This window comes from Homo sapiens, chromosome 10, assembly GCF_000001405.40.
Source record: "Homo sapiens chromosome 10, GRCh38.p14 Primary Assembly".
Classification (NCBI taxonomy): Eukaryota; Metazoa; Chordata; class Mammalia; order Primates; family Hominidae; genus Homo; species Homo sapiens.
The window spans coordinates 70,402,707-70,429,805 of NC_000010.11; the positions used below are offsets into that span (position 1 = coordinate 70,402,707).

The 27,099-nt window shown below is 44.1% G+C and overlaps 1 protein-coding gene across 1 annotated transcript, besides 2 other annotated features; it reads left to right on the forward strand.

The window, feature by feature from the left end:
- Nucleotides 1,311-1,500: a silencer, noted in NCBI's record as "silent region_2446". NCBI's record gives its function as "represses an Ori minimal core promoter by ATAC-STARR-seq in GM12878 lymphoblastoid cells {active_cell/tissue: GM12878}" and the evidence as "EXISTENCE:reporter gene assay evidence [ECO:0000049][PMID:35858748]".
- Nucleotides 1,439-25,912, forward strand: EIF4EBP2 (eukaryotic translation initiation factor 4E binding protein 2). The gene is made up of 3 exons (NM_004096.5): nucleotides 1,439-1,840; nucleotides 17,208-17,393; nucleotides 19,010-25,912. Exons 1-3 carry the CDS (start codon nucleotides 1,696-1,698, stop codon nucleotides 19,039-19,041), a joined length of 363 nt encoding a protein of 120 aa, NP_004087.1. The 5' UTR covers nucleotides 1,439-1,695; the 3' UTR covers nucleotides 19,042-25,912.
- Nucleotides 1,531-1,740: a silencer, noted in NCBI's record as "silent region_2447". NCBI's record gives its function as "represses an Ori minimal core promoter by ATAC-STARR-seq in GM12878 lymphoblastoid cells {active_cell/tissue: GM12878}" and the evidence as "EXISTENCE:reporter gene assay evidence [ECO:0000049][PMID:35858748]".
- Nucleotides 25,913-27,099: the final 1,187 nt, after the last annotated feature.

Below are 27,099 nucleotides of genomic sequence, written 5' to 3' on the forward strand. Positions count from 1 at the left end.
CCATGTAATGCCCTGGCCTGCCCTGGGCTGTTGTAAGTTCTTTTGTCTATGTTCTTGCCAAGCACCTGTTTGACCCTCTGAGCAGTGAAGCAATAGCTGTTTTCCCCTCAACCTCTCTTACCCTTATTTCTCTCATTTGCAAAATGGGAATGATGGTAGCTATGTTGGCCTTACCCATGAGTGTCTTCCCAGTCCCACCTTGGGCATGTTGTGGGCAGAAGTAGTGCTGCCCTAGTGCAGCGGTTCTCAAAGTGTGATCTGGAGAGCCCCTCGGGGATCTGAGACAACCTTCTTTTCTAACTACATACCTGTGTGAGGCTGGGTTTTCTTCATATAGTTGAATCAACACATTACAACAGCTTGAACACAGAAACAGATATGAGAATACAGCTGTTTTCTATTAAGCCAGATATTAAAGCGTTTGCAAAAATATAAAATAATGCCACTGTTCTCACTATTTGTTTTAGATAATTAAAAAATATAATGTCAACATGTAATAGGTTATTATTTTATGAATTAATAAACATTTAAAACATTCTCAGTTTTAATTTGTTTTTTGTTGTTGTTGTTGTTGTTGTTTTTTAGAGACAGGGCCTCACTCTGTTGCCCAGGCCGGAATGCAGTGGCTATTCACAGGTACAATCCCACTAGTGATCAGCAGCGGCTCAGTTTTAATTTCTAATACAATAATTATCAATACATATAATCCACACAAACAAAAGCTCTTGGAAATCCTCAATAATTTTCAAGAATGTAGAGGTACTGAGACCCAAAGTTTGAGAACCCCTCGAGGAAAGAATAGAGTTCCAGATCTAGATTTTTCAGGTACCTCATGGTCTAAGCCCTCTCCTGTGCCTCATTTTAACTCTAATACAATAATACTCATTCTTGTTGCCATGAGTGGCTCTTGGTTTCTTCCTTTTCCTAATGTTTAGATCTTGCTTTATGTGTGTATATAGTGATGGTCTTTGGAAGGATACACAATTAACTGGTACAGCGGTTGAGGGGAGTTCGGAAACTGGGAGAAAGTGGCACCATAAACCTTTCTGCTCTGTTTGATTTTTAAAATACAGTACATCGTGCATGTAGTGCCTGAATTAATAATGAACAATTAAAAGTAAAATTACATTTTTAATGCATAGGAATGCATGAGAAACTCAAGTCTGCTCAAGTAAAGTGGTGTTAACCGACAATGACAAACAATAAGAAGAAAGTTTTCCTTGTCCGCCTTCACCAGGCTCACAAACACTTAGCTCGCGCTCCCTCTGGCTCTTCTCCCGCTCGCTGGGGTTAAGCCACTCTCTTCCTCAGCCCTGCCCCTCGTCCCCGCCCCCTTCAACAACTTCAGCCACGCCCCTCACTGCCTCGCCCCGCCCCGCGGCGACGTCACCTCCGGCCGACCAGCTTCCCCAACTCCCTCTGGCTCCCGCCTTCGCCCGCTTCCGGTCGTCGTCGTCGCCGCTGCTGCCGCTGCTGTTGCTCCTGAGGCTGCTGGCTGAGGCCGGAGGATCGAGCGGCGGCGGCGGCGGCGGCTGAGAGGGCGGCGGCGGGAGCGGAGCGGGACGAGGGAACGGGAGGAAGCGAGCGAGGAGCGCGCAGAGCGCGCTTTTCCGTCCGCCTGAGGAGCCGAAGCAGCCCCGGCCCCGCCGCCGCCGCCTGCCCGCCGGACAAAGCCGAGAGCCCGCGCCCACAGCCATGTCCTCGTCAGCCGGCAGCGGCCACCAGCCCAGCCAGAGCCGCGCCATCCCCACCCGCACCGTGGCCATCAGCGACGCCGCGCAGCTACCTCATGACTATTGCACCACGCCCGGGGGGACGCTCTTCTCCACCACACCGGGAGGTGAGCGCCGGCCAGCCGTCCGCCGCGCCCGGTGTCCCGCCGCGGTCCTCTAACTCCTCGGCGCCTCGGTGCCCGGCCGCTTCGCCCCCGCCCCCAGCTCCACCGAAGCCCCGGGGACGCTGCCCTTGGGCCCGCCCGAGCGTTCGGGACCCTTTACTTCGTGTTCGCTCTTGCCCGCAGCTCGAGTCGGCGCGCGCCCCACTCGGGAATGTGGCTGTCCTGTCGCGAAAAAGAGCTCTTGTTTCCGCTTCGTGGCAGGCTTACGCATTCGACCCAGTTCTCTCTCTCCTCTCTGCCTCCTTCCCGGGCGGATTTGGCTCCACTTGGCCTTGCATTACAGTCTGCATTGCCTGTCGTAGATTGTGCAAATTAATGCTTGATTTTGGAGCTGGCTCCGGGGCTTTTTAAAAAAGAACTTTGGGAGAGGAATTCGGCCCTGGCATCCTGCGATGGCTTGTTTTTGCTGCTTTTAGAACACCGGGAGGAGGCTGGAATGCGGAGTCTGGAAGCCTCGCCCAGCGTTATCCCGCTTTGACAGCATTGTTTACTTTGCTGGACGAGGCCCCACGGGTGAGGGGAGTCCCCAGGCCGGGAGGAGAGCGTGATAAAATAAAGCTCAAGTAATAGCCAAGGGAAAGTAGGTGGGGGTGGTAGGGTGCTGACAGCCTTAAGGTAGGGTGTCTTTCGGCAGCGACGCCTTTGGAAATGGATTGAAGGACCTTTGTCAAGGACACCCCAGTTGGGTGGGGTGGTTGCTTGATCCTGTGGAAGGGGCTAGAGAGAGGCAATCCAGAGAGAGGGTGGTTCCCTGGCATTGCTTTTCAAAGCATGACCAGGAACTGTTTACAAATAAGTAATACTGGGGTAGAGGTGAAGCTTGGTCACGGGAAGAGAGCTCAAAGGTTGTCTGTGCCCTAACTGGGCTGTCCTCCAGAGGGAGGAGCCTGGAAAGCGATTTTGAGGAGCCTTATTGAAGGGAACGGGGCCTCCTTTTTAACTTCAGAACTTTGTCTTCTTTTGGTGCTGGGGTGGCCTCTTGCTAGAGGGTGGGGACTTCGCAGCTCCTGCGGTCTAGAGGATTGCTAGCCTTGTTCCTGTGGGCAGGGCTCAGGAGCTGTACTACAACCAATCCGATGCAGTTAGGCCTGGACCATCCTTAAATCAGTTGCACAATAGCAAGGCCTGTGGAGTAAGGAGACCTTCTTGCCAACACCAAGGGATAAAATCTAGGAGGGAGCTTTACAGAGAAATTCAGCCAGGCCGCTCTGGGGGCTGGGCGGGCTGCCTTGAAAGGCTTTTTAAATGACCCAGGCAGAAGTTCAGTAATATATATGGAGAGCTGGGTTTAAGGAAATGTTAACTTTGCAGAATAGTGGAGTTCTTAGGTGGCTTAACTCATGGAAGAAATCTCCCCCCGATATGATCAGTTCAAGACCAACTCGTGTTTGAGCATGGTACAGGGTCTCACTCTGTCGCCCAGGCTGGAGTACAGTGGCACGACCTCGGCTCACTGCACTCTCTACTTCCTGGGCTCAAGCGATCCTCCCACCTCAGCCTCCTGAGTAGCTGGACCACAGGCACGTGCCACCACGCCTGGCTAATTTTTTTGTATTTTGGTAGAGTCTGGGTTTCTCCATGTTGCCCAGGCTCGTCCTGGGCTCAAGTTATTCGCCCCGTCAGCCTCCCAAAGTGCTGGGATTACAGGCGTGAGCCACTGCACCCGGCCAAGATCTTGCTTTTTAATCCTGAAAAATTTTGGCAGACCAGAATCTGCTCCATATAAGAGTTGTCTTGAACTTGAACTGATAGCTTTTAAGAAATAGATGCTGTTTTCCGAGGTGATGGAAAGGGATTTATAACTTCTTCCAGAATTCTTTGTGGTATTGCTCAGTAAATGCCTGTGCTTCCAGAAGTTCAGAACACGTCATAGTGACAACTGCACTCAGCTATAATGTATTTGGAAAGGGAACTAAACTTTCAGCTATATATTAATCCCCTGAGGGAAGAGCCACCTAGACACGTTTTTGGCTTATGTCAAATAGTCAAGCTACCATACTTTTAAAAATAAGGGCATAGTCTTTAAGCGTTGCTTCAAAGATAGAAGCCTGTCTCATAGCCTGGATTAGTTCTTAAAGTGCTTGCAAAGAGTCTGCCAGAAATACTAATTCATTACCCCTCCTCCTAACAACACTCAATCACTGTTTTCTCAAATATCACTTAACTTCCCCCGACATTGTTTCTACACACAGTTTCTTGTTTTGGATTTAAATACTTGTGATCTTGGCTCTTCTTTACTGTTGAGCTTGTATTTATTGGGAGAGCCCATCATAATCTTTGGATTTATTTGTTTATTTATTTATTTATTTTTGGAGACGGAGTTTCGCTCTGTAGCCTAGGCTGGAGTGCAGTGGCGCGATCTCGGCTCACTGCAAGCTCTGCCTCCTGGGTTCACGCCATTCTCCTGCCTCAGCCTCCCGAGTAGCTGGGGCTACAGGCGTCCACCACCACGCCCAGCTAATTTTTTGTATTTTTAGTAGAGATAGGGTTTCACCATGTTAGCCAGGATGGTCTTTTTTTTTTTGTTGTTGTTGATCATTCTTGGGTGTTTCTCGCAGAGGGGGATTTGGCAGGGTCACAGGACAATAGTGGAGGGAAGGTCAGCAGATAAACAAGTGAACAAAGGTCTCTGGTTTTCCTAGGCAGAGGACCCTGTGGCCTTCCGCAGTGTTTGTGTCCATGGGTACTTGAGATTAGGGAGTGGTGATGACTCTTAACGAGCACGCTGCCTTCAAGCATCTGTTTAACAAAGCACATCTTGCACCACCCTTAATCCATTCAACCCTGAGTGGACACAGCACATGTTTCAGAGAGCACAGGGTTGGGGGTAAGGTCACAGATCAACAGGATCCCAAGGCAGAAGAATTTTTCTTAGTACAGAACAAAATGAAAAGTCTCCCATGTCCACCTCTTTCTACACAGACACGGCAACCATCCGATTTCTCAATCTTTTCCCCACCTTTCCCCCCTTTCTATTCCACAAAACCGCCGTTGTCATCATGGCCCGTTCTCAATGAGCTGTTGAGTACACCTCCCAGATGGGGTGGTGGCCGGGCAGAGGGGCTCCTCACTTCCCAGTAGGAGCGGCCGGGCAGAGGCGCCGCTCACCTCCCGGGCGGGGGGCTGACCCCCCCCCCACCTCCCTCCCAGACGGGGCGGCTGGCCGGGCAGAGGGGCTCCTCACTTCCCAGTAGGGGCGGCCGGGCAGAGGCACCCCTCACCTCCCAGATGGGGCGGCTGGCCGGGCGGGGGGCTGACCCCCCACCTCCCTCCCGGATGGGGCGGCTGGCCGGGCAGAGGGGCTCCTCACTTCCCAGTAGGAGCGGCCGGGCAGAGGCGCCCCTCACCTCCTGGACGGGGCGGCTGGCCGGGCGGGGGGCTGACCCCCCCACCTCCCTCCCGGACGGGGCGGCTGGCCGGGCGGGGGGCTGACCCCCCCACCTCCTTCCTGGACGGGGCGGCTGGCCGGGCAGAGGGCTCCTCACTTCCCAGTAGGGGCGGCCGGGCAGAGCGCCCCTCACCTCCCGGACGGGGCGGCTGGCCAGGCGGGGGGCTGACCCCCCCCACCTCCCTCCCGGACGGGGCGGCTGGCCGGGCGGGGGGCTGACCCCCCCACCTCCTTCCTGGACGGGGCGGCTGGCCGGGCACAGGGTCTCCTCACTTCCCAGTAGGGGCGGCCGGGCAGAGGCGCCCCTCACCTCCCGGACGGGGCGGCTTAGCCAGGATGGTCTTAATCTTCTGACCTCGTGATCTGCCCGCCTCGGCCTCCCAAAGTGCTGGGAGTACAGGCGTCAGCCACTGCGCCTGGCTGTAATCAGTGGATTTTTAACATGAGGGCTTATTTAATATCTTTATAAGGACATGGTGCCGTTGCAGTTGGATTTAATCACTATTACAGCAATGAATACTGTTTAGGTGTTCTTTACTTACTGATTTAACTTCCCCCTCTGACGGTTTGTGTATCTCTAATGCTACATTCATCTTCCTCTCATCATGTAATTTTATTTCCCTCAACCAGGGTGCAATAGTTTGTTATCTGGCCACCTCCAGACTCCTGGATTAATATGGTTAGGTATCGTTAGTAAATTTTGTGTGCCCAGGGGAGTGGTTCGCACAAAAGGGGACAACAGACAAAAGTAGGAAATACAGTCCTTGGTCTGAACAGGTTTAAATTCTTGATTTGGGGGTAGGGGCAGACAGATAAGATTTTTAGTTCTGAAAGAGTAGAGTCAAGTGCTAACATATATTTCAGACTTGAAAACATTTAGAAAAATGAGTGATAGGCTTGTATTGGAAATCTCTATTTAGTGGTAAGGGAGGGGATTAACATTTCCTGCCTCAAACTTCTAGAAATCTTCTGGAGGGTCACATACATGTCAGAGCATTCCAGCATAACAACAGTTGATGGACCGAATGCCCTAAATGATCAGACTGAGCAGGGACATTCACAGCATAGCAAACTTAGAGTTTCTCCCCCTTGAAGAGTTCTTTATTCATTGGGGATCACAGGAGATACAGCTTACCCTTGAGCTTTCTCAAAATTGTCTTTCTGTGGTTTGGGAAGTGAGAAGTGGGTGAAAACACACTTGCTGTAACCTCTTGGATTTCTCATATTGCTGGAAGAGTACCCTTTCTCCTTATGAAGGAAGAGGAAACTTTTTGTTGGGCAAATTCCAGGCCAAAAAAAAAGCTCTTGGATTTTATTTTTTTTTCTATCTGCCTGTGGAGGAGTGGGGATGATATTTGGTTCTTCCATTGAGAAGCTACCTCTGCCCTCAAAGGAAGGTAAAGTTACTATAGTTGGCTCCACTTTTAATAACACTAGTGACCTAGAAGAAACCTAATGCTTTCATTTTATTATTGAGAGAAATTGGGACCCAGAGAAGTTAAGTAACTTGTTAGTATTAAACAGCTAATTATTGTCCGTGAGTCCCTCAAATTTAGTATCCTGATCACTATTCCAGTTTTTTCCTCTACTGTTTTGAGATGCTTATCTTACTAGGAAAGGAAGTTTGCAAACATTTAAAGAGACTTTTCTACCTCTGGAATGCTAGCTAATATGATTCTTTCCGCTACCTTATTTCCTTTCTAGGTGCTGAACTGCCCCCTTTTAGAAGAGTTGTTTTGCTCTGCGGAATGAGCAGAAACAGAGACACCTCTTTTACCCTTTCTCTTTGCCTTTCTTTTCCTTCACAGAGTTCTCATCAGCCATGGAAAAGTATGCTGTTACCATAACAAGGGCAGCAGAGGGGAACTAACTGTGATGGTCTGAAATTTTGTCTGGGTTGTAGCTCTTCTGCCTCTTGGATAGTTGATATGATTGGTTCATTGGGACAGAATTTCATAAAGGTCATTGGATGGGTTTGGAAAAAAGGAGAAAGCAGGAAGAAGGGAAAATAATCCACTGGGAGTGAAAGTGAACTATACCAAAATAAAGAGTATTGGGGGTGAAGGGAGCTGCTTTTTTTTTTCTTTCTTTCTTTGAGACAGAGTTTCACTCTTGTTGCCCAGGCTGGAGTGCAATGGCGCCATCTTGGCTCACCGCAACCTCCGCCTCCTGGGTTCAAGTGATTCTCCTGCCTCAGCCTCCTGAGTAGCTGGGATTACGGGCGCCCACCACCACGCGTGGCTGATTTTTGTATTTTTAGTAGAGATGGGGTTTTACCATGTTGGCCAGGCTGGTCTCGAACTCCTGACCTCAAGTGATCCGCCCACCTCGGCCTCCCAGAGTGCTGGGATTGAACCACCATGCCCAGCCCTGTTTCTTTTGTTAAGATAAAAATTGTCTTTGTTGGTTTATTAGCACTTCAGAGATTTGATGGTTGTGCACAGTGAATGTGGTTTGGCCACCACCTGTCTCCCTGAAGAATACAGAGTTAGGCAGCTTTTAGTTTCCTCTGGGTTATTTGCCATAGAGCTTTTCAGGAGTCTGTCTCTTCATCCAGAGTCTCCATGAAGAACAGATGTTTAAAACTGAAGTTCATTCATGAATGTTCTATAACTCAGTCAATAAAACATAGACCTTGTTCTACCTTCCTAAGTTGAAAGAATAAAAAGCAGAGAAAACACTTTCTTTGTTAAGTCCTTTCTGTTTTTTCCTTTCTTATTTTCCCTTATGGGGGTGGGAGAGAGAAAGACAGGCTTAGACTTCTTTTCTGAGTGCATTAGAAGCACTTGCTGCTTGTTCATCTTGTATCTGTTTCTCATCTTTTGGTGGGCCCTTATGTGAGACATAGCTGGAGAATTGTCAAGAATTCCTAGTAGAAATTGAAGTTACATGCCAAATGCTTTGTTTCTTTTTTTAATTCAATGTCTAGGCTTGAAGGATACCTTCCTCCTCGTGGTCCCTGCTGCCCTAGCAGTGTTGGTTTGTATGTATGTATTTATAAGATATTTTGTAAGCATCTTTTTTCTTAGTTCCTTATAATGGTTTTTTAATACACTATCTCTTGATGTTTTAAACATACATAACAAAAATTTCCATTTTAGTCATTTTTAATTGTACAGCTCAGTGGGATTAAATATATTCACCTTGTTTTGCAACCATCACCACCATCCATCTTCAGAACGTTTTTCATCTTCCTAAACTGAAACCTCATACCAATTAAACAATAACTTCCCATTAAGCAGTACCACCGCAGCCTCCGGCAGCTAATCATCCTACTTTGTGTCTTCATGAATTTGACTACTCTAGGAATCTCAGTTAAATGGAACCACGTAGTAATTGTCCTTTCGTAAATGAACATTCATCAGTGTTCATGCTTTTTTTCTTGCCATTTTGCTTTTTTTTTTTATTATTATTACATTTTTTTAATACCTATGAAAGCAACAAAGTTGTAAAAGTCATATAGTCTTACTGGCCACACAACAAAAAGCAACATTCCGATGCCCCGTTCCTTCATCTCCATTTCCACTCTCAGAGAAACCATTTTAAACTCATTTAGCTAATGTGCACTGCAGCCTTGACCTCCTGGGCTCAGCCTCCTGGGATCATAGGAGTGCCACCAAGCACGGCTAATTTTTAAAATTTTTGTAAAGATGATTTCTCACCATGTTTCCCAAGCTGGTCTTAAACTCCTGGGCTCAGATGACCCTCTTGCCTCAGCCTCCCAAAGTGCTGTGATTATAGGTGTGAGCCCCTATGCCCAGCCTATTTCTTAGTTTGGGATATTAATTCATTTTCTGCTATGGAAGATGAGGATTTAGTTGTTATATACACCCTTCTCCCAATGTATATACTTCTGTCTCCTATCCTCTTAATTTAACTTTTTTTTACCCTTTTTGGTCAAACTAATATGTATGTAATCTTTACTAAATTTTGGTAAATATTGAATGCAGATGTGGCTGACATTGTTGGTTTCCTGCTCAATAGCTATTCCCTCTTCTTGCTTGCTGCCAGATTCCCTCATTTTTTAAATGGCAAGGTGCTAAACCCCAGGATATAGACTGTGACAGCTCTTAAGTCAGTCATAGTTTCCCCAGTGTTTGGTCTGGTGGGCATCTGAACCAGTTCTGGACAAATGAGATGTAAAGGAAGTCTGCTGATGGCTTCTGAGATTTTCCCCTCCAACGGAGAAAGTCCCAGGAGGAAAGCCCTGTTTGACTTCATGTTCTCCTTTCCTGCTTGGAACTCTATTTTATGAGGGTGTGGGTCCATCTCAGCCTTTTTGGAGGGCTTGTGGGCAAGTTACTTAATGTTTCGTTCTCCAGGCTGTCTATTTGCGTGAGTAAATGGTTAATTCTAATTCTGGAAGCAGACTTAGTTAAACAGAATTTTATGATGGCGGCCGGGGGGTGGGGGTGGGGGCTCCCTGTAAAAATATAGTTAACAACTACCCTGTAAGTTAACCATGTTATAGTGGACTTTCTCTGTGTGGTTTAATTTCAGCTTACATAATTTCTTAACTATATAGCTTAATGCATGGATTATTTATCATTTAAACTAAGGTACTTGGTATTGAAAGAGGCCGTTACGCTTGAATGACCTTGTTTCTATACTAGCCATCTTGGCAAGCATAACTTTGGGCTTTATTCATTGACCTTCTTGTTGTTTTCTGCAGTTTGAGAATCACTGGTTTTTAGATTCAAAGGTAGATAGGGTTTTTCCCCCCTCTCTGTCAAAGGGACTCAGTTTTACTCTCATATTTCCCTAGTAATGTTAAATCTAGAAAGTCCTGGATGAAAGTATTAGATTTATCCTAATATCTGGTCACTAAGGGATGAAAAATTTATAAATAGCTAATGTTAACCTAGATCTAAAGCTTCCTATTCTGAAATCCAAACATGAAGACTAAGAAAAATATGTACATTTTGAAACAAAGCAGAAAAATGAAACTTCAACAATGTAAAAGAGGGTAAAATGCCAGTAGACAGCCACTTTCAGCAGTTTCTGTTTACAGTGCTTTTGCTGGCTACCATTGTTGCTGTAAATAATATATGTATACTGTGATTTCTTTAACATTAGACAATACTGTTAACTCCCCATTATGAAAGATGAGGAATCTAAGATACTTTTATTACTTTCTGTCTCTTGTTTCTCATCCTCTCTCCATTTACTAATTTCTGTAAATTGTATTATCATTTTTGGCTCCTCTAGTAGTTATCTTTAAAGCTCTAAATAATATGTGTCTCAACCTGTCAACTTTAGCTCTCCACTGTATAAAAGTACACCATTCACCTGTCCTCCTGCCTTTACTTTGCTGGTATGTAACCTCATTATGTTTATAATATCAGGGTTTGTGGGCAGGCTTGGTGGCGTACACCTATAATCCCAACACTTTGTGAGGCCAAGGCAGGAGAATCGCTTGAGCCCAGGAGTTTGAGACCAGTCAGGGCAACGTAATGAGACCCCATCTCTACAAAATATAAAATTAGTTGGACTGTAGTCCCAGCTACTTGGGAGGCTAAGGTGGGAGGATCACCTGAGCCCAGGAGGTCAAGGTTGCAGTAAGCCGTGATCATGCCACTGCACTCAAGCCTGGGTGATAGAGCAAGACCCTGACTCTCAAAAAAAAAAAAAAAAAAAAAAGAAATCAGAGTTTGTAACATTTACGTACTGTTCCTTAACTGTTAATTCTTCTATGCTTTTACTATAGTTTGATTATAAACGTTGAAAATCAAACAGCATATACAATATTGTGATTTTTTTTCATAACTTTCCAATATAAGACTAAGGAGCATGATTATTTTCATAGAGAAGGAATGGAAAATTGTTTTTTAATTTTTGTAACACTCCATCAATTGATCACAATCATGCCCCATTTTAATACTGTGTTATATGAGCTATGGATTTCTTGTGTAGTCTGTTTTCCTTCTTCAGTAGCTTAAGGTTAACTTGTTTCTAGTTACTTATGGCTGCATTGGTTGACATTAAATTGAGCTGACATAGCGTTGGAGGGAGTCTGGGTGAAATGTGAATTGCTAGGAAGTCCTTGCTTCAGAAAATGTACATCTGTGCATGCATATGTATAAGAAACCTTAAATATTTTAGATTTTTTAATAGATTGTCTTGGAATTGATGTAAGTTTATAGTAAACATAATATTCAATAAAGGAAATAAAGGGTTTTTTCCTGCCATTTTATCCATGGTTGAATCTTAATTTTTTTTCTTTGAATAATTTTGGTTTTTTAAAAGGTCAGTTTCTTTTGAATTACACCCTAAAATCATTAGTGATTAACAAGCTGATTCTGTATTTTTGCTTTATACCCACTACAATTAAATTTTTTTTAGCTTGCAGAGATTACTAAAATTCAAAAACTTATAAATACTATACTTTCATAGTCATATTTTTCCTGGCTATATTTGAGAACATTACAGCATTAAGACGCTAGTTCTTCAGTGTGTCTTGTTGTCTGAATTATTTACTGTGTTGGCATTCAAAATCAAACATATCTTAGGAATGCATTAAAAAAACTATTAGAAATAATAGGTGAGTTTGCCAAGGTTGCAAGATAAAAGAGCCATATAGAAAAACCTGTTTTTGGCCCAGCACAGTGGCTCATGCCTGTAATCCTAGCACTTTGGGAGGCCAAGGCTTGCAGATCACTTGAGGTCAGGAGTTCGAGACCAGCCTGGCCAACATGGTGAAACCCCATCTCTACTAAAAATACAAAAATTAGCTGGGCATGGTAGCGCATACCTGTAATCCCAGCTATTTGGGAGGCTGAGGCAGAAGAATCACTTGAACCCAGAGGGTGGAGGTTGCAGTGAGCTGAGATCACACCCTGCACTCCCGCCTGGGCAGCAGAGGGAAAATCCATCTCAAAAGCAAAAACAAAGAAAACTGGTCACGCTTGTTATCCCATCATTTTGGAAGGCTGAGGTGGGCAGATGGCTTGAGCCCAGGAGTTCAAGACCAGCCTGGGCAACATGGTGAAACCCCGTCTCTACAAAAAATACAAAAATTATTTTTTTCTGGGTGACATGTGCCTGTAGTCCCAACTGCTAGGGAGGCTGAGGCAGGAGGACCGCTTGAGCCCAGGAGGTGTAGGTTGCAGTGAGCCAAGATTGCACTTCTGCCCTCTAGCTTGGACGACAGAGCAAGACCCTCTCTCGAAAAAAAAAAAAAAGAAAAGAAAAAGAAAGCAATCCCATTTACAATAGCATGAAAACAATTTGATAGGAATAACTTTAGTCACAAAGCATAAAACTTTTACTCTGGAAACTACAAAACATTGTTGAAAGAAATTAAAGAAGACCCAAATAAGTGGAAAGACATTTGGTGGCCATGGATCAGAAGACTTAATATTGTTAAGATGGTAGTACTCCACAAATTGACCTTCACATTCAGCACAGTCCCTATCATAATCTCAGCTGGCTTCTTTGACAAGCTGACAAAATTCATATGGAACTTTAAGGGACCTAAAATATCCAGAACAATCTTGAAAAAGAAAAACTAAGTTGGAGGACTTACACTTTGTGGTTTCAAAACTTATTACAAGTCAAGACAGTGGGGTACTAGCATATGGATATACATATAGATCAATGGAATAAAATTGAGAGTCCAGAAATAAACCCAGCAATAATGGCCCATTGATCTTCAACAAGGGTGCCAAGACAATTCTGTGGAAAAAGAACAGTTTTCAACAGATAGTGCTGATACAACTGGATATGCACACAGAAAAACTGAAGGTGGACCAGATGGCTCAAAGACCTAAATGTCAGAGCAAAAGCTATTAATGTACAACCTTTAGAAGAAGACAGAGGCAAATCTTTATGACCTTGGATTAGGCAGTGGCCTGAGATATGACTCCAAAAGCACAAACAAAAGAAAAAAAAAAAAACATACATTGGACATCATGAAAATTAAGAACTTTTGTGCTTCGAAGATCATGAAGAAAATGAAAAGATAACCCACAGAATAGGAGACTATATTTGCAGTCACATAAGAGATTTATATCCAGAATAAAGAACTATCATAATTTAGTAATAAAGACAAATCATTGAAAAATGGGTAAAGGTTCTGAATAGACAGTTTCTTCAAAAGAAGATATGTGGTGGAATGGCCTGTTAAGTACATGAAAACAGCATGTTCAACATAATTAGCCATCAGGGAAATGCAAATTAAGATCAAACCACAGTGAGAAACCACTTCATATCTGCTAATGTTGGCTACAATATATAAAAATTAGAACTCTTACACACTGCTGATGGGAATGTAAAATAGTACAACCACTTTGAAAAACAGGCAGTTCTGGCCGGGCGCGGTGGCTCACGCCTGTAATCCTAACACTTTGGGAGGCCGAGCTGGGCAGATCACGAGGTCAAGAGATCGAGACCATCCTAGCCGACATGGTGAAACCCTGTCTCTACTAGAAATACAAAAATTAGCCGGGCATGGTAGCATGCACCTGTAGTCCCAGGTACTTGGGAGGCTGAGGCAGGAGAATCGCTTGAACCCAGGAGGCGGAGGTTGCAGTGAGCCAAGATCATGCAGCTGTACTCCAGCCTGGTGACATAGCGAGACTCTGTCTCAAAAAAAAAAAAAAAAAACCAGGCAATTTTTCAAAGGGTTAAAGGTAGAGTTACCATATGACCCAGTAGTTCTACCTTAATTTTTTAATTTTTTTTTTTTTTTTTTGAGACAGGGTCTCACTCTGTCATCTAAGCTGAGTGCAGTGGTGCAATCATGGCTCACTGTAACCTCCATCTCCTGGGCTTAAGTGATCCTCCCACCTCAGCCTCCCCAGCAGCTGGGACTATAGGCATGCAACACCACGCCTGGCTAATTTTTGTATTTTTTTTTAAGAGACGGGATTTTGCCATGTTGCCCAGGCTGGTCTTGAACTTGTGAGGTCAAGTAATACACGTTGGCCTCCCAAAGTGCTGGGATTACAGGTGTGAGCCATGCCTGGCTAATTCCACTTTTTTAGTTTGGTATATACCCAAGAGAATGGAAATGTGTTCACATGAAAACTTGTACGTGAATGTTATTCATAATAGACAAAAAGTGGAAACAACCCATTTATCAGTTGATGGACTTGTTTTTATCGACTTACCAGTCCATCAACTGATAAATTGATAAGGTGCGATATATACATACAATGAAATATTTGGTAATGAAAAAGAAATGAGGTACTGATAAATGCTACAACATAAATGAACTTTGAAGACATTATGAAAGTGAAAGAAGCAGTCACAAAAGACTGTATTGTATGATTCCATTTATATGAAATGGCCAGAGTAGGTAAAACTATATAGAGACAGAAAGTAGATTAGTGGTTGCCTAGGGTCAGAGGGTGTGGGGAGATCAGGTGGCATCTAAGGGGTTGGGGGAGGTTATGGGGGTAATGAAAGGGTTCTAAAATTGATTATGGTGATGATTGTACAGTCCTGCGAATCAACTAAAACTATTGAATTATACACTGTAAGTGGATCAATTGTAAATGAATGCTATTTCAATAAACTTGTAAAATACCGTATCTTATCAGCTCTTTAAGGTCATAGAGGTTCTTCAGAGTTTCTCTTATACCTCACACATTTAGGCAGAATCTCCACTACCTATATCCTAGTTGGTTTAATTGCAATTCTTTAATGTATGCGTTGTTGCTGATACATAATTTAGAAAGCTTGCTTCTGTGCTGTGCTTTTTTCACCACCTCATCTCCACAATTTCCAAGCTTGATGTACTACAGAAGTAAGAATAATCTTGTTCCAGTTTGCAAGTTGACTCATCTGACAGTGAAACCTCACCCTTCTGAAATCTCATCATGAACAAAAGTGGGGTAACTCAAACAGATAGGCAAAGTCCATTGTTAAAGCTCCTTCCCTTTGTTCATTGGAAGGCCATCAGACCCCCTTTCAGCCTATTTGCCCTTATTTTACATAGCATGCTAATAAGCAAGTTGCTGATTTCCAAACCCACCAGACTAGAAACACCAAGTTAGAAAGGGTGTTAAGGGTGTGCTATACAGATTGAATTGTGTCTCCCCAAAATTCTTATGTTGAAACCTTAATTCCCAACATGATAGTATTAGGAGGTGGTGCCTTTGGGAGTTAATTAGGCTGAGTTGAGGTCATAAAGGTGGGACCCTCATGATGGGATTTGTGCCCTTATAAGATGGAACACCACAGAGTTGAGGCCCCCTTACCCCCATGTAAGGGACACAAAGAGAAGGCAGCTACCTACAAGCCAGGAAGAGAGCCCTCACCAGAAACCATCCATGCTGGCATCTTAGTGTTGGACTTCTAGCCTCCAGAACTATGAGACAATTTCTGTTGTTTAAGTTGTGCAGTCTGTGGTATTTTGTTATGGCAGCCTAAGCTGACTGAGTCATAGTAGTAGCCTGGAAAAAAGGTAGCTCTTAGTCTAAGGGGACAAGGGCACTGTGGGGGAGGGGTGCACCAGCACAACTTTGACCATCCGAACTCTGTATAGTGATGTTCAGCTGTACAGAGCACCAACTTGATAGGGCTTAGAGACTTCTTAGGTCACAACATAGTATAATAAACAATTTTCATAATACTGTGATTCATCAAGAGGGTTGAATCATTTTCTGTTGAAGGCCATAAAGGGATTTAAATCTGTATTAGAAGTATTTTCATTCAAGATAATTGAAATTGTTTACCCTTTGAAAGTTGAACTAAGTTTTGTGCTACCCAGAATGCCTCGTTCCTCATAATTTCTAGATGCCTTTTTGAGTGCTACTCTAGTTTTTGTTTTTCAAAGCAAAGAGGTTGAAGGTAAGTTTCTACTTTCCTTGTCCTAAAATTATATTTGATTTACATTTTGAGGCAGGATCTTGCTCTGTTGCCCAGGCTGGAGTGCAGTGGTGCAGTCATAGCTCACTGTAGCCTCGAACTCCTGGACTCAAGCTATTCTCCTGGCTCAACCCCCGAGTAGTAGGGACTTCAGACCAACAGCACCTCACTTGGCTCTTTTTAAAATAATTTTTTTAGAGACAGGGTCTCACTATGTGGCCCAGACTAGACTCAGACTCCTGGGCTCAAGCAGTCCTCCTGCCTTGGACTCCCAAACTGTTGGAATTACAGGCATGAGCCACCATGCCCAGGCTCTCTTGTCTTTTTGATAATAGCCATCCTAAGAGATGTGAAGTGATATCTCATTGTCGTTTTGATTTGCATTTCCTTGATGATTAGTGATGTCGAGCACCTTTTAATGTACCTGTTGACCATTTGTAAGCAGCACGTTTCCATAACTGTTTATCAGTTAAAGTGTACTCTTCAAAACTATTGTTTTTAAAACATTCAGGTAGCACTTAACTGGTAAGCAGATTGTTTTGTAGAATAGAGAGGGGCTGCCAGTTTCAGCTTTGACTATAGCTGTGAGAAGAATGTTAGTCTCAGTCCTTCTTTGGAAAGCCTTTAAAAGGGGCTGTTTATTTTTTCTCATACTTGTTTATTCTTTCATTTAAAACTTTTTTTTTCTTAAAGATGTTAATGTTAGGGCCTAGGTCACATATAAATAAGACATAGCCCTGACATAAGAAACTCAGAGTCTATAAAGAGAGACAGATGGATAAACAGGAGTCCTGTAATACATGATGTGTGTAAGATGGAGAGGAAGAACCTTTTAAAAAAGTGAGGGGTGGGGGTGGCTTCATAAAGGAAGTGATGGTTGGAGCTGAGTCTTGAAGGATCAACAGGAGTGTCCCTGGCAGAAGAGAAAGGGCATTCCAGATGGCAGAAGAGCCTGTTTACAGGCAGAGAGGTTAGAGATTATGCTTTCAACTTGAATTGTAAAATCCTTAAAAGTTAGGATTACATGGGATTTAAATTAAATTCCTGGGTGGTATTATATGTTGATAACCCCTTAAATTGTTTCAAACTCTTTTTAACCCTGTTTTCCAGGAACTCGAATCATTTATGACAGAAAGTTTCTGTTGGATCGTCGCAATTCTCCCATGGCTCAGACCCCACCCTGCCACCTGCCCAATATCCCAGGAGTCACTAGCCCTGGCACCTTAATTGAAGACTCCAAAGTAGAAGTAAACAATTTGAACAACTTGAACAATCACGACAGGAAACATGCAGTTGGTAAGAGAATGGCGATGTTGGAGACCTAGAGCGTGGCTCTTGGAATTTGAATGTCTGTTTGCTGTAGGTTGAGAAGCTATTGATTCTTCAGTTTTGTTTTTTGTTTTTTGTTTTTTTTGAGACACAGTCTCATTCTGTCACTGAGGCTGGAGTGCAGTGGCACAATCTCAGCACACTGCAACCTCCGCCTCCTGGGTTCAAGCGTTTCTCCTGCCTCAGCCTCCCGAGTAGCGGGGATTACAGGCGCCTGCCACCACGCCTGGCAAATTTTTGTATTTTTTAGTAGAGACGGGGTTTCGCCATGTTGCTTAGGCTGTTCTTGAACTCCTGACCTCAGGTGATCCACCTGCCTCAGCCTCCCAAAGTGCTAGGATTACAGGTGTGAGCCACTGTGCCTGGCCAATTCTTCAGTTAATAACTAATGTTCAGTTATATGTCTCTAAGGTTTCCCTCCTCCCCCAAAGGTTTCTTGAAATACTCTGAAAACCCTGAATTCTAAATCATAAATCTGATGTAGTTGGTGGGAGAAAAGAATCCAGAATCAGGATGATAAACCCCAAAAATGACTCTTTGAACCATGCCTTAAGGACTTCCTGGCCTAGGCTTCATTGGACTAAGGATAACACACACAGAAAACAAAACAATTTCATAGCCCCCATTTCCATCACCCTCAGGCAAATAGACCTTGTTTCTTTTGTTTTGTTTTGTTTTTTGAGACGGAGTCTTGCTCTGTTGCCCAGGCTGGAGTGCAGTGGCACGATCTCGGCTCACTGCAAGCTCTGGTTCCCGGGTTCACGCCATTCTCCTGCCTCAGCCTCCCAAGTAGCTGGGGCTACAGGCGCCTGCCACCACGCCCGGCTAATTTTTTGTATTTTTTAGTAGAGACGGGGTTTCACCATGTTAGCCAGGATGGTCTCGATCTCCTGACCTCGTGATCCGCCCGCCTCAGCCTCCCAAAGTGCTGAGATTACAGGTGTGAGCCACTGCGCCTGGCCGACCTTGTTTCTTATATGAGTTTCTTTTATATGGTGTGAGGAAAAGCGGTATGGTTTATTTCCTCTATTTTCCAGAACTGCGTTTAAGGTTTACCTAAATTACCCCTCCTCCAACACATTCTTTTTTTCTTTATCACTGTAGAAGCAGAATGGTGCGGTAGGAGTGGCCAGCTCCTGAAATATTCCTCAGGGACTGCACTTGGTGACCCCTAGATGGGGGCCAGCATTCCGCTTTGTCATATTTCAGATGAGTTTTTTAATGGACAAAGTGTTAGTTTGGAGCAGGGCCAAAGTCCAAAGCCTCCAGAAGAATGTGCTCCCCTGAGAGATGGCAAAGAGCTCCCCAAGAGCTGCTGTTTAGTCATCCTGAAGACAAAGGGACAATGGGGATGTTTTCACTTGTGTCCTTTTCCCCAAAACTTCTCCCCATGGGTGATGGGACTGCCATTCTTATTTTTCAGATTAAGACCAGCCAAAGCAAAGCAGAGTAATTGTTTTAAGGCAGCAGAGAGTGGGACAATTTGAATTACTTTTTGTCTCTCATTTAGAGGGAATGACAGTTAAAACTGTTATGCTTCTTTGTGTACGTGCTAAACTCTTCATTTTATTGGTCCTAACTAGGGGATGATGCTCAGTTCGAGATGGACATCTGACTCTCCTGCAAGGATTAGAAGAAAAGCAGCAACACTGATACTTGTGTGCACCTGATTTGGCCAATAGGATCAACAGTGAAAAGACAGAAGAGGCAATACCAGCAGTCCCCATTACAGTCTCCACCTCCCCGTCTTCCTCTGGGTGCCAAATGATGGGAAGATGAGCTTCATCTGACCATTTCTTCTCCCTGTCTCCTGTTCCCCTTCCCAGTTAAACAGGTTAGATTGAAGGCCCTTGCTGTATTTCTGTAGAGCTAAGCAGCCCTTAGAGGAAAACAGTTCAACTCTGACTTTCCTAGTTGTTTTTTTATTGAGAGCCACCCTCATACCCTGTAATTTTGTCCCAAATCAAATATCAACCTACCAACAACTGCCTGGCTGGGAAGTCTGGGGAAGGGATACAGAGCTTGGTGGGCCTAACACCATTCATATTCCTTACCCTCTGTCTCTCCTCCCTGTATCCCACCTATGGTTCAGTGTTGCAAGAGTCTGGGCTTGGGGTCTTTAAAACCAGCAGGGGGAAATGATAAAAAGAGAGCTGCTTTCCCTTTTACCTTGAGGTATTCGTCCCTCGGGACAGAGCACAGCTTGTGCAACTCTGGTAGCGTTACCCTGTGACACTGTTTTGAGGTCCACTTCCTTTCTTTCCTCTGGGAGGAATGTCTTCTGTCTTTGGTATTATAGTTCATCTTCCCATTCTTTTACTTAGTGCATTTGTGCAGATATTTTTAACTCTGTACATCAGAAGAGAGCCCTTGGTAACCAGTTTTGCTCTTCTTCTGCCACTCCTCCCTGCTTGCATCTCGTTGCTGGCAGAGTCCTCTTGTACTTCAAGAAAGCAAAGTGATTTTGTCTGCTCCTAGAGCAGGTCCATACCAAGTAATAGAGGCACTTTAGCTTCCACTTGGTGGGTAAGGCCTGATCATAGTATTCTGTCAGATAATGCCTAAGAATGACCGCTGAAGAACGTTGACCCATTTGAGTACCCGGTCTCAGTCGTCATTTTTAAGTCCAGTGAGCATTGTGGTAGTTGTTCTTAGATTGCAGTTTCTTATGTTTTGAGTTTGAAGTTGATTTTCAGAATGTTCTTAGAAAAGAACTGCATTTTTTTCCTTTGTGGATCTGCTTTGTTTGGCTGCTGGGATAGATAAGCATGGGCTTAAAAAATGTGTTCCTCCCAGTTTTCTTGCCTTTCCTGTTGTACTCTGAATTTCTCTCCCTACCTCCCTCACTTTCTTCCTCTCTCCTTCCTTTCCTTCCTTTTTCTCTACCAGGCCATTTTTCAAATTTACATCAAAGATACCTGAAGTGTTGGTATCTGAGAATATCTGTCACTCCTCTTATCTGAGAAGTGACCTTTTATTTTTAAGATGACTACAGACCTATTTTTAGATATGTTTTCAGTACAATTTTGAACAGCAACTTTTTAATTAAACATCTTCCAGTGTTAGGAAGTTGAGAAACGTTCATAGGCAAGTCTGCTGTTCTATGTCACCATCTTTTGTCTCCCCTAGTCCCCCAGGAGCTCTTTCCTTTCCCCTCTAGTTTTGGGTGTGCATGTTTGGAGTTTGTAGTGGGTGGTTTGTAAAACTGGACCATTCTGCCTTGCTATGGGTTGTTCAAGAAAGCCTCATTCTTTTCTGTGACCCTTTCGCTTTTGCATTCACCCTCCTTCCCACCTACCTGTCCTGGGGCTGTTGAGCAGCATAATAATCCCGGGAGAATGATTCCCCTCATAGAAAGACAAAAGCATCCATCCCCTCATAGTTAAGTAGCCACTGGTGTCCTGGGAATTTCTGGTTGGATTTGGTGCCCTGAACTTTTTTATTAAGAAATCAGATCCCAGGGTGAGAGTAACAGGCCATTTGGCCAAGAAAGAAACCTGTTTGTTTTTCTTTTGAACTATGAAAAGACCCTGTTTGTGAATATATTTTAGAAAGAGAGGAAGGATGTCTGCAGAACTTTGTTCTGTTTTCTGCCACAAAAATGTGAATAGTTCAGAGTGAAAACCTTTTGTGATGGTTGATGTCTCAGGAATAAGCTGGATCTCCAATGTTTTGGGGATGCTTTGAGTCTCAAAAAAAATTGATAATCAGAAAAGTAATTTTTGTTTGTTTGTTTAATGTATCCCTGTTCTGTTTTTAATTAAACTCCAAGTCTCATTTTACATATTCTTGGAAAAACCTAAGTTGCTCTGTAATTTACATAAGAAGCATGCTCAGGACCTCTTTGTACCCCGGGGAGCCTGATTCTTTGGGAATGAAGCTTTTCATTCTTCATACACTGGCCTTGGCATCCTGTGGAATTTGACCCAACTAGCAGCTAGTCAGTCTGTCAGTGAGCAGAAGAGTGAACTCTTCTTGATCTTTATTGCTATGTGTGAAAACTTGGCTTCCTCACTGAACGGTGAGGAATGGATTTAAAGCATGAGCTTTAGTAGTATCAAGATGCCATTTTCCTTTTTCTTGCTGTCTTGGGGAGCTTCTGCATGTGACCCCCTAATCAGAAGGCATGTTTTTAGTATTTCTTGGGAGTGTCAGCTGTATAATGCAGCAGCTGTTCAATCCCTTACCCTTCTCTGCAAGGACTTCCTTACAGCTTGGTGCAGTTCTTTCCCAGAGGCCACCACTACTAGACAGTCTTTCTTTTATCTTATGGAGATAAATTGGCATTTAAAAAATAATTTCACAAGGCATGAGATAAACTTTCAATAGATGATACCTTTGTGTCATGCCTCATGGAATTATTTTTAGAACAAGCCAGAGTCCATTGAGTGGTTTACCTCTGCATGTTTGGAGGGAACCTCACAGATGAAACCCTTAATGAATAATGTGTCCGGGGTTTTTTAGAGAGAAGGAGCACTCTTAAGTTACCACTTTGAGACAGCTCTTAACATCTTAGTGACCATTTGTAGTTTTCTTTTTATGAGGAACCCATGCTTCTATACTTGGGCGGACAATCGAGCTTAATGAGAAGTGACTTCCCTTCAAATTCCAACAGCAGACATGCATTGTCATGATTCTGTCTTCTTTTTAGTGTGGTTTATTGAGTTCAGCAGTTCTCATATTCTGTTTAAATAGGTACAGCATTTTCAAGGGCACAGATACAGAGAAGCTGGCTTTCTAGGTATTGGGCTTCCAAGCCAAGAGTTTTGTCCTTCCACCTGTATTAGTTATCTATTGCTGTGTAAAAAATTACCCTAAATTTAGTATGTTAAAATAGTAAACATTATCTGTCAGTTTCTGTGGGTTAAGAATTTGGGAGTAGTTTAACATGATGGTTCTGGCCCATGGTATCATGAAGTTACAGTCAAGATTGAACAGGGGCTGCAGTCAGCTGGAGCTGGAGAAACCACTTCCAAGTTCTCTCTTTGTGGCCGTTGGCAGGATGCCTCAGTTTCTTCCCATGTGGGTCTCTGCGTAGGGCAGCATGAGTGTCCTCACACCATGACACCTGGCTTCTCCCTGAGCAGCTGATTCCAGAGATCATGGGGCAGGGCCAGGAGAAAGCTGCAGTGCCTTTTAAGACATAGTCTTGGAAAGGACACACCGTCACTTCTTATCCTAGTTGTTAGAAGCAAGCCACTAAGTTCAGCCTGCACTCAAGGAGAGAGGAATTACACATACCTCTACCCCAATGGAGCAGTAGCAAAGAATTTATGGACATATCTTAAAAGCACCACACCCCAACTGGGGATGAAAGTAGGTCAACAGGGAGGTAGGTTTAATCTAGATAAGCTGAAAGATAGATTGCTATCAAAAACAGTTCTCCAAGATGTGCATAGCCAAACTGGGATAGAAGGCAAACTCCCCAAAGCTACCTGCTGGTTTTGAGAGGGGTGGTAAGACATGGCAATTCCCAGGAGTAGTAGAAAATAATATGCCTGACTACCAACAGCTCAAGTATGCTTATTTGCACATCCTAGACTTGGTGTCTGTAAGACTCAGTTACCACTTTTATTTTCCTGTAGCTAGGAGTTAGCAAAAGGAACTGGGGCCTTCCAGCCGAGCCACTAAACCTGTCTTATTTGGAATGGGGATTGTCCAGCAAAGGGAGCAAACATGAATTAGATGTTAAGCTATTGAGCTGAAGAAAAGAAAGCAGTTCACATTTAGGTGAAATAGATGATGTTATCAGGAAGCCAGGTTCCCACCAGAGTCGGTGCTTGGTACCTGGTCTCTCCAGTCTCAACAGACTCAGGTCAGGTCTCTCACCCAGGAAGCAACCACTCAATAAAATAGAGAACATCTGAGAATTACAAATGTCTATGCTTGATTGCTCCTCTAAATCCAGTGCATAGGTTAACCCTGCATGCCCATTTCTTCCTGGGCTTCTTGATGGCAATGTGTTCTTAAATAACTGGTCTTGTGTTCATGCTAAAGACAAACTTACATGAAGTTTTTCAGTTTAAGACATTCTAGTGAATGGCTGCTATGTGTTTCTGGCACTCATTCCTAACCAAGTCTTTAGAGATTTCAGATGACCTTAAAGATGCAATATCTTTTTCTTTCTTTCTTTCTTTCTTTTTTTCTGAGACAAGAGTTGCGCCCTGTCGCCCAGGCTGGGGTGCTGGAGTGCAGTGGTGCGATCTCAGCTCACTGCAGCCTCTGCTTCCCAGGTTCAAGTGTTTCTCCTGCCTCAGCCTTCCGAGTAGCTGGGATTACAGGCATGTACCACTATGCCTGGCTAATTTTTATTTCTATATTTTTAGTAGAGATGGGGTTTCATCATGTTTGCCAGGCTGGTCTCGAACTCCTGGCCTCAAGTGATCCGCCCACCTCAGCCTCCCAAAGTGCTGGGATTACAGGCGCGAGCCACCGCGCCTGGCCAAAGATGCAAATTCTTGTTTGGATTTATGCTCTGCCTCTTCCCAGCATTTTCTTATCTGTAGCCCTGCTTGCTTGAGAGTATACTTGGATAAGAAGTATTGCTGTTGAGGGAGCTATAAGAAAAGGATTCTTCTTCCAGAAGTAAAGAACTCATCTTTAGAGTACCTTTAAATGAATTTTGTTTTTCTTTCTTATTTTGAGGTGGATTGGTCTTCTCTTTTTTTGGGTTTCCAGCTCACTGGGACTCTCAGACCTTACCTTTCCAGCTCAAACACCATTAGTTAAATTCCTTCATTCTCATTAGAATGCAGCCTGCTGAGTATGTGGGTTTCACTGCCGGAGTCCATCATTTAGCCAGTATACATAGAGGAACTGCTTCGAATCAAGGCAACTGGTGAAGGGCTTAGCATGTTGGCAGCAATATCCCAGAGATTGAATCTGTTTGCATTTTCCTCATCTAGGATAACAGCTGCTTGAAGCCAGGGCTCTTAGCCCTTTGCATTCCCCTTGAGCGAGGAAGCCACACTGCCTTTCTGTGTCTGGTTCAGAGCTCTTCCTTCTTGGCATGTTTTCTGGACTACATGCACATGGGCAGCTATAGATTAATCTGCAAAACCTAGTCACTTACCTACCCATAATATCTGGGAAGGTGTGGTATTTGTTTTAAAGAAACATTGTTTCTTTGGGAGGGCAGTTTCTGTCTGGACTTTGAGGTGGACTTAGTTATCCCTACAGTTCTTTAACTCTCAGCTTTTAATAAAAGATGAAATCAGATATTGATGCAGTTGGGTCACAATTCTTTAGAATGCTTCTACCCCAGGGCCGCTTCCTGTTCCTAGTCATGGTTTTCCAGTTTAGTAGTGGAGTTTCTTGAGGCTAACTTACAGAAATTTCTAACTGAAAACTTTAAGAGTTATTGATACTTGTTTTTTCAGTCAGTCACTTACATCACCTAGCCTACTCTCTGGAATTTAAATTTATTTCTCTAGGCTGGTCCTGGAAGTTGATAACCTTTTGGCAAAGCTTAGATTTAGGAGAAGGCTTGAGTCCCTGTTCAGCGGGTCTGTGGATTCTCTTTGCTTATGGCTCTCTGCCTGCAGCCCTGGCAGACCATACTGTATGTCATGGATACCCAGTGGAAATATTACTGAGATGAAACACATTTCCAAGGGTATTTAAACTCTCACTCTGCCACCTTTCTAAGGGTGGGAGGCTGGCAGAGATGCTGCAATGCTTGATAATCATTTGGCCACACTGAAATTTCCAAAGGGAGCTCTTGCCGGTGCTTAAAACCAAAACTCCTGGACACTTAGAAAATTCCATGAATCTAGCACAAAATATCCATTCTTGCCCAAGTGTATCCCCTTTCTCTCCAGCTTAATCTTTTTTTTTTTTTTTTTTTTAAAGCCCAGGCCAAGGGTACTTTTAACTGGAAACTGGGGAGGAGGGAAGAACACTAGCAGGGAGCTAAGAGGCAGGTTGCTGGGTAAGCCATCCTGCTCCTACCTGGTGCCTGTATCTACATTGCTGAGTGCTGTGCGCCAGTGCCTTTCCTTCATCTGCAGATGGAGCCCATCTCTTTCCACCTGGGTGAGGAGACCCTCTGCTACTCCAGGGGTAAACCTTAAAGAAGGTGTCTTGAAGAGCCCAGAGGACACTCACGTGCTAAGGTGTCCATTTTATGCATCTTTAAAATATTTTATTTAAAAAAAAAAATAGCCCTGCCCTGTCTTAGTGCCACTAACGGCCCAGTTCCATCCATTCTGAATGGAAAAGCGGAGACTGCCAGCACTTTCCTTGGTCTTCCCTTTGTCTCCCATGATGTGTTGTTCCCTCATCCCTCCCATCCATTTCACTGTGTGTGGATGGATAGCAGAGGGTACCACGCAGTCCTTGAGGCAGTCCTGTGTGATTCCATGATCAGTTGTTTTTGTATTTTAACTATTCTTCCAAACCAGCAGATGTTTGGAAATTAAGGAAAAAATTAAATTCTCATCAATGGTTGCTGTTATAGTTAAATCAGTAAAGATCTTGAGTATCAACTTGGTGTTTTAATTTTTTAAAAATTTCTGGTGAAATCCTGCTAAGGTTATTTCACATTTCAGGAGTTTCAGCTGGTGGGGGAGATGGGCAGAGGTAAGAGGCAGTTGGCTCTTTATCTGTCAGTTCTCCACACTTGCGGAGCATGCACTTTGTCAATGTGGACCTGTGTATGCAAAGGAGATGGTGGGACTCTCAGGGAGCATGACCCTGGTCCTGTGCTCAGGAGCTTGCAGGTGAACATGTATATGCTGGGCTGACGGCACCCAAGCATGTCCTTCTCTTAAGTGCCAGCCCTGAGGAAGCCCAAACAACTTTTCCTTTCTCAGAAGAGGGGCTGCCTGTGCCCCTGGGAGCACTGGTTAGATGCCCATCATGCCTGTTACCTCAAACCAAGCTGTGCTGCATGAGCGTCAGATTCCCTGCTGTTAACTAATCCAGCGGGTTTCATGTATTAGTCCTGAGAATGAGAATTCTTTCACGTGCACAGAGGTCCACAGAATAAAACTGGACTGGAGGAAGCTTTCCCATCGGAACTGTCTAGGGGTTTAGGGCACAGGCTTTGGAGTCAGGCAGCTTCAGTTCCAGCTGTGCTGCTTAGTAGCCAAATTACCCAGCAGAATTCTTATTCTACAAGCCTCAGTTTTCTCTAAAATAAGGTTAAGAAACAACTTTTCTAGGTGGTTGTCAGGCCCAGTTGATGTCATAAAGAGCCCAGTGCCTAGTATACTCAGCTCAGGAAACAGTATTTAAGGGACTCAAGCACAGCCCGGTTGACATGGACACCCAGAGATTATTCAGCCCCCTCTCCTCTTCCCTCCAAGTGTGTAAGTTTAGGAATGGAACAGGTTTGAGCACTGCAGCTACCACCTACTCATGGAACCTATAGAAGGACTAAAGGATCTCTTTAAGGGAAGATGGGACCAAAACCTTAAAAGCGCTTTCCTACATCCTTTACTCTGCCCTAAAGGCAATTAGGATAGGTAAGGATCTTACTGCTAATGAAGACTTTTTTTTTTTTGAGACTGAATCTTGCTCTGTTGCCCAGGCTGGAGTGCAGTGGTGCGACCTCGGCTCACTGTAACCCCCGCTTCCTGGGTTCAAGTGATTCTCCTGCCTCAGCCTCCTGAGTAGCTGGGATTACAGGCACGTGCTACCATGCCTGGCTAATTTTTATATTTTTAGTAGA